This window comes from Homo sapiens, chromosome 13, assembly GCF_000001405.40.
Source record: "Homo sapiens chromosome 13, GRCh38.p14 Primary Assembly".
Lineage (NCBI taxonomy): Eukaryota > Metazoa > Chordata > Mammalia > Primates > Hominidae > Homo > Homo sapiens.
The window spans coordinates 26,011,465-26,027,013 of NC_000013.11; the positions used below are offsets into that span (position 1 = coordinate 26,011,465).

The window sequence follows — 15,549 nt, forward strand, 5'->3', positions numbered from 1 at the left end:
TAGGGGTAAAGACTTCAACATGTGAATTTAGAGGGGACACCATTCAGCCCATAATCTATTATGCCTCTAGGTCACTGGCAAACTCCTGTAATGACAAGCGAAATGAGAGCCTGATAGTAAAAATCAAAGCACTTTGACCTGCCTGGGCAGTTTTCAAGCAGTCCCTTTGGGCTTATAGAAATAAACAGACTGGGCATGGTGGCTCACACCTGTAATCCTAGCACTTTGGGAGGCCGAGGCAGGAGGATCACTTGAAGCCAGGAGTTTGAGACCAGCTTGGGCAGCAAAGCAAGGCCCTGTCTCTGCAAAAAATGTTTAAAATTAGCCAGGTGTGGTGATGCACACCTGGGGTCCCAGCTACTCAGGAGGCTGAGGTGGGAGAGTTGCTTGAGCCCAGGAGTTCGAGGCTGCAGTGAGCTATGATTGTGCCACTGCACTCCAGTCTGGACGACAGTGAGACCCCATCTTTTTAAAAAAATAAAATAGTATAGAAATAGCCAAGCTCCAGAACAGTTCCACATGTCTTCACAGCAGTGGCAACCTTGAAGGGAATAGGTTCAGGAAAGGCAGGGACTGCTCCTTAGCCGTCTGTTTTAGAAGAAAACTCGCCTTGATGTTCATTGGGGTTCAAAATAATCAAGTTCTGCAGAACGAAGCTGGGCTGTGGCTGGGGTCCTGAGGCCTCCGCGGGGCTCTCACCCCGTGCAGGCAGGGGGCTGCAGGCAGGAGTGAGGCGCGGAGATGTTTACCCGGAAACAGGCCTCTCCTTGGAGAAGTGTCCTGAAAAGCCCACGGTCCCGCGGGTATGGACCGGGCACATGCACACTTCAGCGAGCAGGAAGCGCTGGCTAAGGGAGGGACTGGAAACGGCGTTTTCCACAACAGGGAGCCAGCATTGAGGCGCCCAGATGGCATCTGCTGGAAATCACGGGCCGCTGGTGAAGCACCACGCCTTACCCGACGTGGGGAGGTGATCCCCCACCTCATCCCACCCCCTTCTGTCTGTCTCCTTGTGCAACCCGAGTGTTCAGGTGACAAGAGACTGACGCGCTTGCTTTATCCGCAGGCTGAACGAGCGCGACCGCCTGATCAAGAGGCTGGGCCGGAAGACGCCCCCGACGCTGTTCCGGGGCAGCTCCCTGCAGCAGGGCGTCCCGCGTGAGTACCGCGGGCGGGGGCTGATGGAGGAGTGGGTGTCGGTGCGGGGCGGGGGTTGATGAGGAGTTGGGGGAGCGGGCGCTGATGGGGGGCCGGGTGAGTGCTGACGGGGGGTGGGGGCGGGGCGTGCGTTTGGAAGTGGAACTGCAAAATGTGTATTTGGCCCCAGGAACGTGCAGCTTGAGTGTAGGCAATTCCCTGGGACCACAAAATCCGTAAACTTAAAATCCTGGTGTGGTTATGATCCTTCCGTCAGCCTCCCAAGAGGAGTTTTTTAAGGTTGAAGCAGTATGACTTTTAAACTGTTGCCCCTAAAGATAGCAATATGAACTGTTTTGTGTAGTGTTGCCATATTGATTGAAACAATGACCATCATTGGGGAAAAACATCATGCTTCTCCCAGGAAGGCTGCCCCACGTCTAAGCCTGGCGTCCCCCTGCCACCCCCGCCCCCACCTCCAGATTCCAGAGGAGAGTGGGAGGCTGTGAAACATCCCCTCTCCACTGCCCCCGACTTTGGAGCTCAGGGGGAGCTCATGGGCTTGTTTTTAGCAATCCAGTCATCAGATCCCAGCTGAGGCAGATCCAGGCCACCTTCCCCAGGGCCAAGGCCAACCCAGCCCTGCCTCTCTGTGTCCTGCGGCCTTCCCCAGCCCCCTCTCCACCCCCATCACGTGCACACGCCAGCTTTTCCTCCCATACTTACTCCCTGCCTCCCTTTCCCTTCCGGAGGAGTTTAGAGGGAAACGACTGGTAGAAAGAGATGAGTTGGGCCGGACGCGGTGGCTCACGCCTGTAATCCTAGAACTTTCGGAGGCTGAGGTGAGTGGATCACTTGAGGTCAGGGGTTGGAGACCAGCCTGACCGACATGGTGAAACCTCGTCTCTACTAAAAATACAAAATTAGCTGGGCGTGACGGCACATGCCTGTAATCCCAGCTACTTGGGAGGCTGAGGCAGGAGAATCACTTGAACCTAGGAAGCGGAGGTTGCAGCGAGCCGAGGTCATGCCATTGCACTCCAGCCTGGGCAACAAGAGCGAAACTTGGTCTCAAAAAAAAAAAAAAAGAAAGAAAGAAAGAGACAGATTTATGAACGTGAAGAATCATTGTTCACACAGTACAGGCAGTGAAGGATCTGTGTTCTGTTGAGCTCTGCCTGTCAACAGGTATTTGCAGACTTTCTCAATGGAGAGAGAAGGAGGGAGACAGAGTATCATTGCTTTTCAGTAATCTACCCCCTGTCCTCACTTTCCCATGTGGAATATCGTATGGGAAGAAGGGGACTGACATGCTTCTGTCCTTTAATGCTCCACTGCCCTGGGAGGTGGGTAATGCCACCCCAAGGACACAAAGCAGAGGCTCAGGTCAGAAAGTGGGTGGCCCAGCATTGCTCAGTGGCATGCCATGAGGTCTGGATTGCAGCCTCAGACTCTGGCCCAAAAGAGAGGTAAGTCAAGAAGTTTGATGGGACAGGAGTGCTAACTGTAGGGCAGCCCTCTGGAGATGGGCTGCCTGGGTTCCTGTCCCTGCTCCCCTGCTTTTTCGTGACCTTGGGCATGTTACTTAATGTCTGCTTCTGCATCTGTAAAGTTGGGTAATATGAGAACTTACTGGATGCCAGAGGTTCAGTGTAGGTCCTGCCACCCACAGCTGCACAGAAAGCCAATCACTGAAACAACAATTATAGCCAAGGAAGAAGGCTTTATCTGGTGCTATAGCCAAGGAGGTGGCAGATTAGTCTTAAATCCATATCCTTGACTGACTAAAATTAGGGGTTTATATAGCAGGGAAGAAATGTTAACAATGTGTAAGAAAACAGGAATCAGTAGGGGTAAGGAAGCAATCAAGATGAATGAGGGGCTTAGCATCTCGTTGTCTGGATGAGATCATTGGGTGAGTTTCAGATCTTTGCTACTTTTCGAGAGGCCTGTGGGTCCCTACCTAAGGAAGGAACTCAGATAAAACAAATACAAATGTCAAGCTTTAAGACCAGAAGGGTCATTTCTATGTTAAAAAAACAAAAAAACAAAAACAAAACTGTCTATGGGACTATTGGGTTGGTTTCAATTAGGAGGATTAAATGAGATCATAAAGATAAAGTGTCTATATAGGCAATATAGGGTCCAATAAATGTTGGGTATTATTATTCTGCCATTAGCTGAATAATTTTGGGAAACTTAATTTCTCTAAATTTTTATTTTCTCCTGTGGAGAAAAAAGAATTTTAATGATATACATCTTACACAGTCCTGTGAGTCTTCATGACAGCATGTGTAAAGCACCTTCTGTATGCCAGACACAGAGAAAACACATACAGGTTCCCAGAACTCTACAGGGTCTGTTCTGTTGAGCCGTGTTGCCTCTCTGATGAATGTTTCAAAATAACCATAGACAGAATATACACGATATATATGTTGTGATCAAAGACCGAATGAGAATTTTTATGGGAGAGTCATAAATGTCTTAAAGACAACTACTAAATGCTTTTCTTAAGTCAATATTTTGAAGGCCAAAAAAAAATCTACTGAATAAATATAAGAAATAAGAAGGCTTCTGAAATCACACCACATTTTTTAAACATTCAGTGACTAGTACCAGAACCTGATGGATAACTTAGGACGTTTCTGTCACTAACAGCCAGAGAAGATCGTCGGGTGGTCAGAGCTGGTCCTGGGGTGCAGGATGGGCATATAGCAGGTCTCAGCCTTTGATGTTCCGCCTGGGTCTGTCCAGGAAACTAGCAGGAAAAACTCTAATCTTGGTAGTATTTTAGTTCCTGTGAGCCACCAACATACAATATTTGTAATCAGCATTTCCTACACAGTCTGATTTCCTCTTTGTCCCCATGGTCTTCTCATTTCTATGGCTATTAGGAATCTTTCCAGACAGGAAACTGCTATTTTCATTAAGATGCTATCAGAGCACAGATTCAAAGGAATGCTACTTAAGGGGAGTTTTATTCCAAAATAATGAAAAAAAAAGACATAATTTTATGGATTTCACCAAATGTTCTACCCGGAGAAGACAAAACAACTAAGAAATCCGTCTTTCCTCCCACCTCCTTTCACCTACACGATTCTGTTCTCCATTCTGGCTGTGGCTGTTTAAGAAAGCAGATGCTTTAGGAAGCCAGCCAGGGAAAGTTCAGTTAGTTGGGTCCATGAGAGCTCCCTCCAGGCCCCCATCAGGACTTTTCTGGCTGTTAGGACTTCCTGAAACATGAGTGAAAGTAGGGAGTGCAAAGAGCTGGAGGCTTCCTCCGAGCTCCCCGTTTGGATGCAAATGACAGTTAAAGGTTCATTAGGCAGAGCTGGGGAGCAGGTCTGTATCTTCATCCGGTGGGACAGAGGCTGGGCAGGCAGGACTGGTTGAGGGGTGATGGTGTCTGGTTTTCCAGTAAAACTCCTCCCATGACAGCTCTAACTCCCGCCAGGCCTGGTTTCTAAGAGGAAAATGTTTAATCTGAAATTTTATCTGAACATGGGAGGACTCCCTCTCCCAAGATAAACCTATCAGGCCATTCTCCTTTCACTCTTGAATTGTAGAGTCCACTTTCATTCTCGGTTAAGGTTAAGAAAGTCTTAGCGTACAACACGCTGGAAATGTGGTGGTAGGTGCAGCCAATGGGAACTAGGGAGGATGGTGGGAGACATTTAGCACAGACCTCACGTTGCTCTACTTACCCTGGGAGGTTTACAACAGGAGGGGCAACTCTTCTCTGCCTGTCTCTTCAAAGGGAAACCTCGAAACCCTTCCCATCCCAGAGGGGCCAAATCATCCCGCTGCAATCCCATGGGAGGCCCTTGTGGCCATGGCACTAATGCACACAGAAGAAGTGACAGAGTTATGAGCTGAAGAAACCCCCGGAGTTGGGTTTCCAGTAGACACAGGCATGTTATGGAAAACAAGATAAATAAAAGAAAAGGCTTTTGCACCTTCCATTTGAACAGGGAGTAGACTATTCCAAAGGCTAAGATACCTTTCCCGAAAGGACACTCCCTAATTTATTTTTATGTCTCCATGAGTTCCCCCCAACCAGGAGAAAAAAGCAGGCCAAAAGAGGTATAATAGGTAGTTAATTATTCTTTTTGGATGGACTGTTGACACCGACCCTTTCTTTTCTGACGTGGATGCAGAGGCCTCCGTGTTGGTGCAGTGTGAACTAGCACTGACAGAGGGAGAGAATCCTGCAGCCTGGGTGTGACGGGCCATGAACATGTCCTGGAGCCCATAGAGAGGACTGGAGGTTGAGAGAACTTGGGCCTTGCCTGGTCCAGGCCATTTAATTTACAGAAAAGTACATCAAGACCCAGGGAGCTTAAAGATCCCAAAGTCACATGGACAAGTAGCAGCAAGCAAGGACTAGAACCACCCTTTGTTTCCTGGCCACCACCCTGACCCCATGCTGCAGCCACTTGGGGCCACCAGAATCTAAGATGAAAACAAGCGAGTGGAGAAAGACATCTTCAGGGTGGAGAGCTCAGTAGTCCTCAGCTTCCCACCGGAAGAGTTTATAAAAGAGTATGTCCCATTCTTTGGGGTGACTGTTCTTTACTCAGAACCACTTCTGTAGGACTGAGGAGCAGCCCCGGGAGTGGTGCAGCAGCTGTGGAGCCAGTGACGACCCTGCCATTGCAGCTGCTGTTCTGCCAGGCCCCCTCAGGATGACTTCAGATGTGGACTAGAAACGTTCCTTGTTAAAGAACTGGAGAATGGAAATTGTCCAAGTTGACCACAGTACATAGCCTTGTTACTGGAGCAGACGAAGCAGTGTTATTTGCTAGATTTTGCTTTGAAACATCCCAAGGAAAGACGTCTCCTCTTGGACTGCAGTAAAAATGCTTCATAAAGGGCAGCTTGTACAGGATTGGGGATGAGAGTGTGTGTGCCACACGGTGCCAGAGGGAGGCAGGAGGCTGGGGCAGCTCCTCCAAAGCTGGGCAACGGAGGTTTCCTTGTCCCTGCTGCTAATCTCTGATTAAGCAACTTGGTGAAAATCCAAAAGCTCTTAGGAGAACAGGAGTGGTGGCATTTGCTCTTCGGTGCTTGAAAGCAGATCATGTGAAAACTCTAAAGCCCTGAGAATCAAAGCACAGCCACCTACCTGGTCAGGAAGTTCAAGTGCACTAGGTGTGGGCCCAAGGCTGGCACAAGCATATCCGCCCCCAAGGGAGCTCCCCTCCAGGCTGATGCTGCCTTCAGGCTCAGACACCCACCTGCTCCTGTACCCAGCTGTCTGAGGGCTCACAATGGTCTGGGAGCTGCTTCACTGTGGCTACCATGTGGTGGGAATTTTTGGTTTGTAGGTTTTGTTTTGCTAGAAATGGAGGTGAGCAAGTAGACAAAAGCCCCCTGTGGAAGATTCCTCTCTGTTCTGTTCTCTTCTGTTCTGTTCACCCTGGCTCAGCTTGTATCACCTTCTCTCCCGCCCACTGTCTCTTCCTCCTGTGGCCTCACTGGTCTGGGCCCTCCTCCCTGCTGCTCAGCCCATGTCCTCAGTCAACTCTCAGGCCACCTCTGCAGACAAGCCCTTGCCTCCCCCGATAACCCCCCTGAGCCTTTGGGATTCTCAGGCAGTGGCCAGAAGGCATGCTCTCTGGAAGAGCCAGGAAGCCAGCCCAGGACCGGGACTCTCAGTTATGGGAACACACAGAGTAAGAAAACAGCCTGAGTGTCTTCTTTTAAAGTCTCCTCCTCTTCTCCATCCCACGAGGACTCTTCTGTCTTGTTACTGTATGTCTTGATACTCTAGAAATTTCCTTTTTAAGCCAGATGCCTCAGGAAATTAACAGGCAGTCCAGGAACTGATTCATGGGCACCCTTTTCGACTTCTTTTCTCCTTTTAAAGAGTATGACAGTGAACTCACAGCTCCCCTGATAAGTTGTACGCATGCATGGATGGAATTCAAGATTGTCAGGTTTTTTTATTGTGTTGTCTTTTGGCCAGAATGTCTAATTGAGCTGTGGGACTTTTCCAGACCCCTGACACAGAAGGGTTAGCCAATGGAGAGCAGGCCTTATAAATGTCTTTCTGTGGGAAGGGCCAGTTGGAAGAAAAGCCCCACTCTGGGCTTGTGAACACTAAAGCTGGTTCTCAGCTCTAGAGTGTGGACCCTGGGTTTGCTTCCCAGCTCTGCCACTCACGAGGTCTGTGACCTTGGGCAGGTCACAAAAATCTCTGTGCCTCAGTTTTCTCATCTGTGAAGTGGGAGGAGTATAATCCCCTATCTCATAGGGTTTCTGGGAGGATTAAATGAGCTTTATTTTATAGCACAGTGTCTTAGACACATGGCATTTAATGAGTCTTGGCTATTATTTATTTTATTAATAGTATATGAACTGATTGTGTAAGAATAGTCTTTGTATGGCCACAGGTCCAATCAATCACTAAATTCCTTTTGAGTTTATTGTGTAACCTTTTTCTTTACATGGAAACAACCCTACTTTGATTACTTATTACCAGTCCAGATCAGTCTGATTTAAAAACAGGGCTGGGTGTGGTGGCTCAGGCCTGTAATCCCAGCACTTTGGGAGGCCAAGGTGGACAGATTGCTTGAGGTCAGGAGTTTGAGACCAGCCTGGCCAACATGGTGAAACCCCGTCTCTACTAAAAATACAAAAAAAAATAGCTGGGCGTGGTGGTGCATGCCTGTAGCCCTAGCTACTCAAGAGGCTGAAGCAGGAGAATTGCTTGAACCCTGGAGGCAGAAGTTGCAGTGAGCTGGGATCGCGCCACTGCACTCCAGCCTAGGCGGCAGAGCAAGACTCTGTCTCAAATAAATAAACAGGAAGGCTCCAGGTATCACGTGCATTTTGCCAGCTTGCACTATTAGTGTTGTGTGTGTGTTTCCCTGGCATGTTTACAGCTTCATAAATTAGCTGGCTGCCCTACAGCATCAGGCAGACAGGAGTGTTTTTTCTTAATTGGCAGTGGGAAAGTGGAGTCGGGGACCAGTGACCCACTGTGTGTGATTCCCACACTGAGCTCAGCCGCAGCCCCCTAGAAATAGGAAACCTACCCTCAGAGGCTTTCCCTTCCCAGCATCAGCAGCTAGAACCATGGGACCCCAGTTAGCCTGCACACGGCCGCCACGGCCCCTCTATGGCCACAGGTTTCTTCATCTCAAGCCTCCACCTATCCAAGGCTAAGGAGGCCAGATGTCGCACTCACCCGCACGCTGCCAAAAAAAAGCAGCTTATTTTAAACCTAGTGTGCTCCCCCAATTCTCCTGTTAACCAGTTTCTCCTGTGTGCTTCACTTTCAGATGGGTATGCTTTTTCTCAAGAAGAACACGGAGCTGTTAGTCAGGAAGAAGTCATCCGTGCTTATGACACCACCAAAAAGAAATCCAGGAAGAAATAAGACATGAATTTTCCTGACTGATCTTAGGAAAGAGATTCAGTTTGTTGCACCCAGTGTTAACACATCTTTGTCAGAGAAGACTGGCGTCAGCAGCCAAAACACCAGGAAACACATTTCTGTGGCCTTAGCCAAGCAGTTTGTTAGTTACATATTCCCTCGCAAACCTGGAGTGCAGACCACAGGGGAAGCTATCTTTGCCCTCCCAACTCGTCTGCAGTGCTTAGCCTAACTTTTGTTTATGTCGTTATGAAGCATTCAACTGTGCTCTGTGAGGTGTGAAATTAAAAACATTATGTTTCACCAATATTTAAACATCAGTACTAGTTGTCCTGGGAGAAAGGGAAAGGAGTTTTATGTTGCGTGAGAGGCCCATCCTGTGTAATTGGAGCAGGGCACACTTGCTTCCTGTTGAGTTAACTCAGAGGTTAAGTCCAACGGGCCACATGCAGACTTCACTGTAGGCAGGTTGCTCTCCTGCTTTGATTCCTGTTTTGTGTGTAAAATTGGCATAAACTTCTTGATTGCAGTGAAATCACAAAATTCTCTATCGGGGTGGTCAACCTGAGAACATTTATTTGAACCTCTTAGCCACATTTCCAGCAGGGCAAACCAACTGATGCCCTGGAAGAGTCTTCCGCACCCTCTCCAGGTGCACTCGGCCCAGTCCTGCCGCCGTGTCCAGGCGCCCCTCACCCCCACACCTGCTGCATGGCTGGCCACACCACTCAGTGCATGGCGGCCGATGGGCAGCCAACCCAAACCCGCGCCTTTCCTTGTTCCACTGCAGACTCAGATACAGATGCGAAAAATTCCTTCTTCCACCGCCCTTCTCGTTCTGTAAAGAAAGAAAAGAAACATAGCCTTTCTGCATATATTCTAAACGTCTCTCTGCCTCTGTCTGACATGGGGCCACCCCACAGGTCAGAGTGGTGGTAGAACCCCTTCAGGACTCCCAGCCGTGGTCAGGCTCTGAATACTCCCTTCCCAACATCCAGACTGCTGGGCCTTTGGCATCCACTTACATTAGAACCCACGTTTGTTTCAGAGCACATTTTGGACTTTCACTGTTGGGAAATGAATGAATTTATAACATGCCTGCACAGCGAAGGAACACACCTGTCGCTCTTAGCTCTAGAGTCAGAGGATGAGTAAACCCAGATGCAAGAGTATAGGACATTGAGTGGGGAGAACAAGACGACCACAGAAGTCCTCAGAAGGAGAAGGAAGGACACGGAGACACTGAGAGGAGGACACAGAGGAATCGCCACCAGATCTTTGCAGTAGAAACTCTGAAATAGGCCTTGAGACCCAGACAATTGTCATGATCAGCCCAGTGTGTATGAGAGCTTAAACAAGACCTTCACACACAGTTCTAATTGAAAAGAATTCCAAACATTTCAGGGAAACACCTTTTTAAAAAATATACTGACATGGTTTCCTTTCTGTATCCCATCAGTGTTAGACACAGGTACCTATCAGAATACGGCATATCCTGAATTATCTAAGACAAGGAAGTGAAGAGCGGAATCACTGACTTTCCCAACTGCAGAGTCCCACACTTAAATCTCAACAGAACCTAGATGTCTTCAGGCATGAATGTGAGCACCTGGAGCCCTTACTAAACAACCTGCCTGGAGCCCTGTTCTCTGCTCTGGTTGCCAAACCAGATTTTTGGATGGCCTAAATACTTGTGGGCAACTGTTACTGGTGAAAAATGGGAGTGGAGAGCATGTTTTGGATTTTCACTGTGGGGAAATGAATGAATTTATCACATGACTGTGCAGCGAAGGAGCACACCTGTCACTCTTAGCTCTAGAGTCGGAGGATGAGTCAACCCTGTAGGAATGATTGTGCTAAATTAGGAAATAACACTTTAGTGCACTTTGCTTCCTAACCCTTTTTTGTCAGAAATCTACAACCTACTGGGCATGGAAATGATTTAAAATATGATCTGCATTGACTAAGAAAACTCATCCTCACTTATGAGGTGACCAGGATGCAGAGAGGGCCTGAGGGGCAGCAGAACAATGCAATTCACAGGTGAGGCTCCAAAAAGGGCCATTTCTTTCTCCCCAAGGTGCATAGAACATTTTTAAATATCAGAGTACCCAGCAAGACGGAAGGACTGTCATGCAGGAACTCTAACACAAAATGTGCCTATGACTAACACGACAAACCAAGGTGTATGGTTTCTTTGCACACCCAGAAAGGTGATGGCCAAGATACAGAGGAGAAACGAAAACTGGAATTGAATGTGCATTAGGCATCTTAACTATTCATATTTTGTCTCATTTGGGAACTAAGCCTATTTGGAAAGAGTGGATTAGAAATTGAATTCTTTGTCAAACAGTTAGCTCTGTCTTGAACTTGAAGCCTTCCAAATCAGAATTATGTATTTAAGTGTGTGTTTGTGTTTGTTTGGGGTTTTTGTTTCTTACATTAGAGTTCATATTTTCTGGGATTTAAGGATACAGGTGTATTTTCCTATTCTCTTGAGAAGTAGACTAAACAATATTTGCAGTGATGACAGACGCACACAGAAGAAAACATTAGAAGAGATGCCTTTCTATCCTCTCATGTGGTTGAGCATTCTTACAGCCAAATGACTAAATTGGCTGTAAATTGGTTTCTAGGAGGAGCAGCTGTCACTACGTGTGATGTATAATATTTAGCCAGGGCCAACTCAGGGGCTGTGTCATTTGTCCTATCTTTAAATTGAGGTCAGAGTGTCACACACAACCCCTCCCCTGGGGCAGGGTGGACTGGACTAGGTTGCATACGCTGGCTGTCAGCTCAGCAAAAATGCCACATGGGGCTTGTCACTCCGCCAGACACTCACTGACTCACGGGCTGGCAGGTCACGCTCGGTTAGCGCTCCAGGGCCTGACTCTGGATTGAGCTAAACTGGCAGAATCCACTCAGGCCAACCCTTGGTCTACTGCTGTGTACAGACAGCCCAGTCCTGTGTTGAGTCTCTCTTCTCCTGGATGACCCTGCAAAAGGAAGAGACCAGTTGTACTGTGGGCTTAGTTCTGGGTTTCCACTGCACACTGACACGTGCCAGCAAGGGTAGCTGTGGAAAACACGTATCAGGAGAGCAGAGTAGTCTGGATGAATACTCTGTGCTGATCAGAACGGGCTCGGTCATAATTTAGGAGTGGAGCTGATGTGTCTGTCCTGCCTCAGTGCAGAATATTCCAGGCTTCTTGACCAGGGTTATGTTCACCCATCTCCCAACACACACATGCACACATGAAAACAAAAACATGGTAACTCTTTTGGTTCGGCACACCATACAAAACGTGCTTTGGGGCGAGGAGTGCTGTTTCTTTTAACACTTGTAGAGGAATATCCTGAGAAGTGAACCTGGGCTTTGGGAGAGCTCAGCTGAGAATTCTGTTGACATTTTCTTTCCCTTGACAAGGCTTCAGGTTCGTCTCACTATAGGGAGCTGGCTGTGAAAATCAGTAATAACTTGTCAAGAAGCAGTGAAAAATGCGGGGGGGTGGAAAGAGCCTAGGTAACTAATGTCTTATAATGCATATGTATGTAAATATTACAGGATTTAAGGTTGAATTTTTTAAAAAGAAAGTTATAGTCTGTAATTTCCATTTGTTATAATAATGACCTTTAATCTTGTCATTTGGAACCATAAAGCATTTTTATCAGGTACCTCTGTTCCAAGGGATTTATGTCTTAGACCATAGCTGAATTGAATGTTTGCAAAACACTGCTATAGGATAAGGTGGTCTTTAGTTTTGAACGTGTGAAAGGACTGCACACTTTTCAGCCAGGGTTTGAGTTACTGCCCAGGGTCATCGTCTCAAAGTAATTCAAGGAGTGATTTAACATCAGCATTTGAAATGTAGTCTTCATCTCCTGGGATCCATAAAAAAATGTGAACAGGGAAATGGTGGCTAAGCAGAGCCTGAAATAATAACTTGGCAAAGAAATGAGTTTATCAGGTCGAGTCAAAACATGGCATCCCCTGTTACACTCAAGAAATGTTTTCTTCATGTAAATGTTTATACGGGCATATATAATCACAATGGGAACAGTTAAAACCCCCTCCCTTCAAAAAAAGAAAATCTATATCAGTTGGGTTTGGTTTTGGTTCTTCATTGGCTCAAGGCAGTTAACTGTCTCAGTATAGCCTTCGGGGAGATTTAACCTCATTCTAGCCATTTTTCCATCCTGAAGGCCAAGAAGGACTATTAGAAGGGTTTTTGAGGGGTTTCGGAGGTGAGGGCCCAAGACCCCCATAATGACATCATTAGGCATTCTTGAAAGGTGTTAACAGACCAGCACGCTCGATGTGTTGTACCCTTCATTTATTTTTTTTTCTCAGCATCCCAAGTTGTCCATCAGTACATTCCCCTTCACCTTACCTGATCTTCATTTAATGCCCAGTCTGTAACTAATGTTCTGTTTAAAGCTCTCTTAATTTGTTGGCTATGAGTGATTTGTGAATCTGGGATGTAACCCTGAGTGAGGAGAAAAGGGCATTGAGCCAGCATAAATCTGAATGGGCAGAAGCCACAAACAAATGGGAGCAGAAAAGAAGGGCGAGCTCCCCCGCGCCGCACCCCGTGTATAATCCAGTGTTAACCTCTGAGGAACACCTCGGCTCTCCCAACTGAGGAGAGACAAAAGAGGGATTCTTTTTACACCCAGGCTGGCGCATTTTCAAGTGACAATCTCGGGCTCTAGTTGCCTTTGAGATATCCACTCTGCTCTTTCTCCCAGGCCTCAGACCAAGAAAAACATGCTCTCAAGATTAGCCCATAGGCAGTTCTTGTGACCTGGCTGAAGAAAGAAAGGAGACCTGTTTGTTTTAAAAGTCGGGCGCAAAGTGTCAGGTGGCTTTGATTTATGACAGAAAGAGGAAGAAGAAAGTTGGAGTAATAGCACTATCCAAATAACCCTGCCCAGGAAACTTGGGGGTCAAGAGAGCTTATCAAGAGCCTTTTATAGGTAAGCTCTTCCGTGTGAAAGAGAAAAGGCCGGAAAGAGGGAGAGAGCCCAGAGAGCAGGCTGCGAACTCACTTCCAATGGGATTGGAGTCTGTTGTATTCTTAAGAGATAGCCTGATATGTGGTTTATAGGTGAATCAATAAACACCAACAACAACAAAAAAAAAAAAAAAAAAAAAGGAAGAAAAGAAAAAAAGGAAACCAGCCCTGTCATGGAATTTCTCTCCTTCCCTGCACAGTAAAGACTTTTGGGTTTTCATGGATAAAATCAATGTCAGTACTGAAACTCCTACTCTCCCCTCCCGCCCCACTCTCCCCCGTTGCCCGAGATGGCCAAGTTCAGGCCTGTGCAATGCCGCTTCCCTCTGAGCCTCCCTCTCAAGGGCCACGCAGGCAGCTGCAGCAGGGCCAGCTGCAGGATGGGGCTGCCGGTCACTGAATTGTCGTTCAAATGCATCATCTTTGTGGCGTCTTTCTCATGCGAGCAAAGCCACGTGCTCTCCTGTCTGCTGTCACATCTGTGCCTGGATTGCTTAAATATTGTTTGTGATGGGGAGGTTTTAATCTGGTGATGCAGAGGGAAGCAGGGCTGTGGGGGCACGTTTAATTGGCTCCCAGCAGCGTGGGGGGTGCTTCTATGGTGTGTGGGGTTTTTTGTTGCCTCCCTCTAGAAGTGTTACCGTTTTCACGTCCTATTAATGTCCTCTGGTTGTTAAATTACAGCAGCACATTACAGTGCACTGGGTTCCCTCCTGGAGTGAATACAAACGGAGGGCATCTACTTGTATTTTTAGAAGTTTTGGGAGAATTTAGTGATTTGTGGCTTTGATCAATCCTGTTGACTGGTGTATGTCTGCGCAAACCTGTTTCAAATAAATCTTTTGTTAAAGTAAGTGATTGGACTGTTTTATTTTGGAATTTTCTTTTCCACTAATCAGCATTTACTGCCACAGGGACTGCGGCCTGTAACACAGGGGTTTGTCAGCATGTGCAGGCTCAAGGACACATACACTGCCTGGAGAGCCGAGGCCCAGGCAACAGTGTTCACTGGCAGGAGCGCAGGAGAGTCTGAGTTCCAGATGAACACATGTTCCTTGCTCTGAGGCAAGGCCCCATTTTCTAGAAGAGAGTCCAGGGGGCCACACAGAGTTTGGATTCAGTCACTCAAAGGAAAGAATGGTGCTTACAAGACCTCCTTCCTCCATTACTTCCCTCCCTCTAGTTCATCTCATTTGGCTACAAACTGAGGAGGCAGCTCAAATTCAATTGGAAAGCAGGAAGTCATGACATTGTTACTTTAAAAAGAGGAAAGACACCCCTGCCCTTTCTCTCTAGGTACAAGGAGTTGCATTCAGGTAAGCATCCATTGCCTCCAGGTTCTCTGTGATGCCTCAGCCAAGGCAGACTCCTCGCACCCGGGGTAAGGTGGGAGGAAGCTGGCGGGCCCAGATGTTGGCCCCTTGCCTGGCTTTGTTTGGGTAGCTCTCTACTTCCCCAGCAGGGTGTGACCTGGGGATGAAAGACAGCCTGTTAGATGACAGTTCTCTGGTGAGGCTTGAGCCTGGATCCCAAAAGACTTCTTAATTGCACTCTGAATTTATTGCAATTTTCCATAGCGGACTTTGATTCCTCCCAGATGGTCCAGTTCCTATCAGACCTGGATTTGACCAGCCCAAGGCAGTCCTGACCTCAGTGACTGTGTCTCAGGCATGGCAAGGACACGGGAGGCCTCACTTGCAGGCAGAGAGTTCTACAGTTTAGAGCTCACCAGGGAAGGGCTTTCATCTCCTGCTCTACATTGGCCAGGCCTTTTCTTCCCCAATGGTGAGAAAATAAAAATGATTTAATACAATCAACAGCGAAGTGTTAAATTCCAACCTTTGCCATTTCTTGTTCATATCTTTACAAAATCTGCCTTTGCCGCTGCAATGGTTTTCTTGAAATGTCATTCTTCACTGATGCTCAGCAGAATAAACTCGAACCATTGAGAGGCTCTTATTAGCTGAAAACAGTGTGCAGACCCTAACCTCTCTGCCTAAAGCAGTGTTCTTTGTA

The 15,549-nt window shown here is 47.4% G+C and overlaps 1 protein-coding gene across 8 annotated transcripts in view, besides 2 other annotated features; it reads left to right on the top strand.

The window, feature by feature from the left end:
• The window catches only part of ATP8A2 (ATPase phospholipid transporting 8A2), a 653,878-nt gene extending 639,491 nt beyond the window's left edge, over nt 1-14,387 (top strand). For all 8 annotated transcript variants that reach the window (NM_016529.6, NM_001411005.1, XM_047430383.1 and 5 more), the window contains 2 exons: nt 1,067-1,158; nt 8,424-14,387. In NM_016529.6, coding sequence (NP_057613.4) covers nt 1,067-1,158; nt 8,424-8,521 — 190 coding nt within the window. In that variant the 3' untranslated portion in view covers nt 8,522-14,387. The remainder of the gene's footprint in view (nt 1-1,066; nt 1,159-8,423) is intronic.
• Nucleotides 396-896: an enhancer, noted in NCBI's record as "H3K4me1 hESC enhancer chr13:26585998-26586498 (GRCh37/hg19 assembly coordinates)". NCBI's record gives its function as "activates a minimal SCP1, AML or CMV promoter by ChIP-STARR-seq in primed H9 embryonic stem cells {active_cell/tissue: H9 hESC(primed)}" and the evidence as "EXISTENCE:reporter gene assay evidence [ECO:0000049][PMID:30033119]".
• Nucleotides 897-1,397: an enhancer, noted in NCBI's record as "H3K4me1 hESC enhancer chr13:26586499-26586999 (GRCh37/hg19 assembly coordinates)". NCBI's record gives its function as "activates a minimal SCP1, AML or CMV promoter by ChIP-STARR-seq in primed H9 embryonic stem cells {active_cell/tissue: H9 hESC(primed)}" and the evidence as "EXISTENCE:reporter gene assay evidence [ECO:0000049][PMID:30033119]".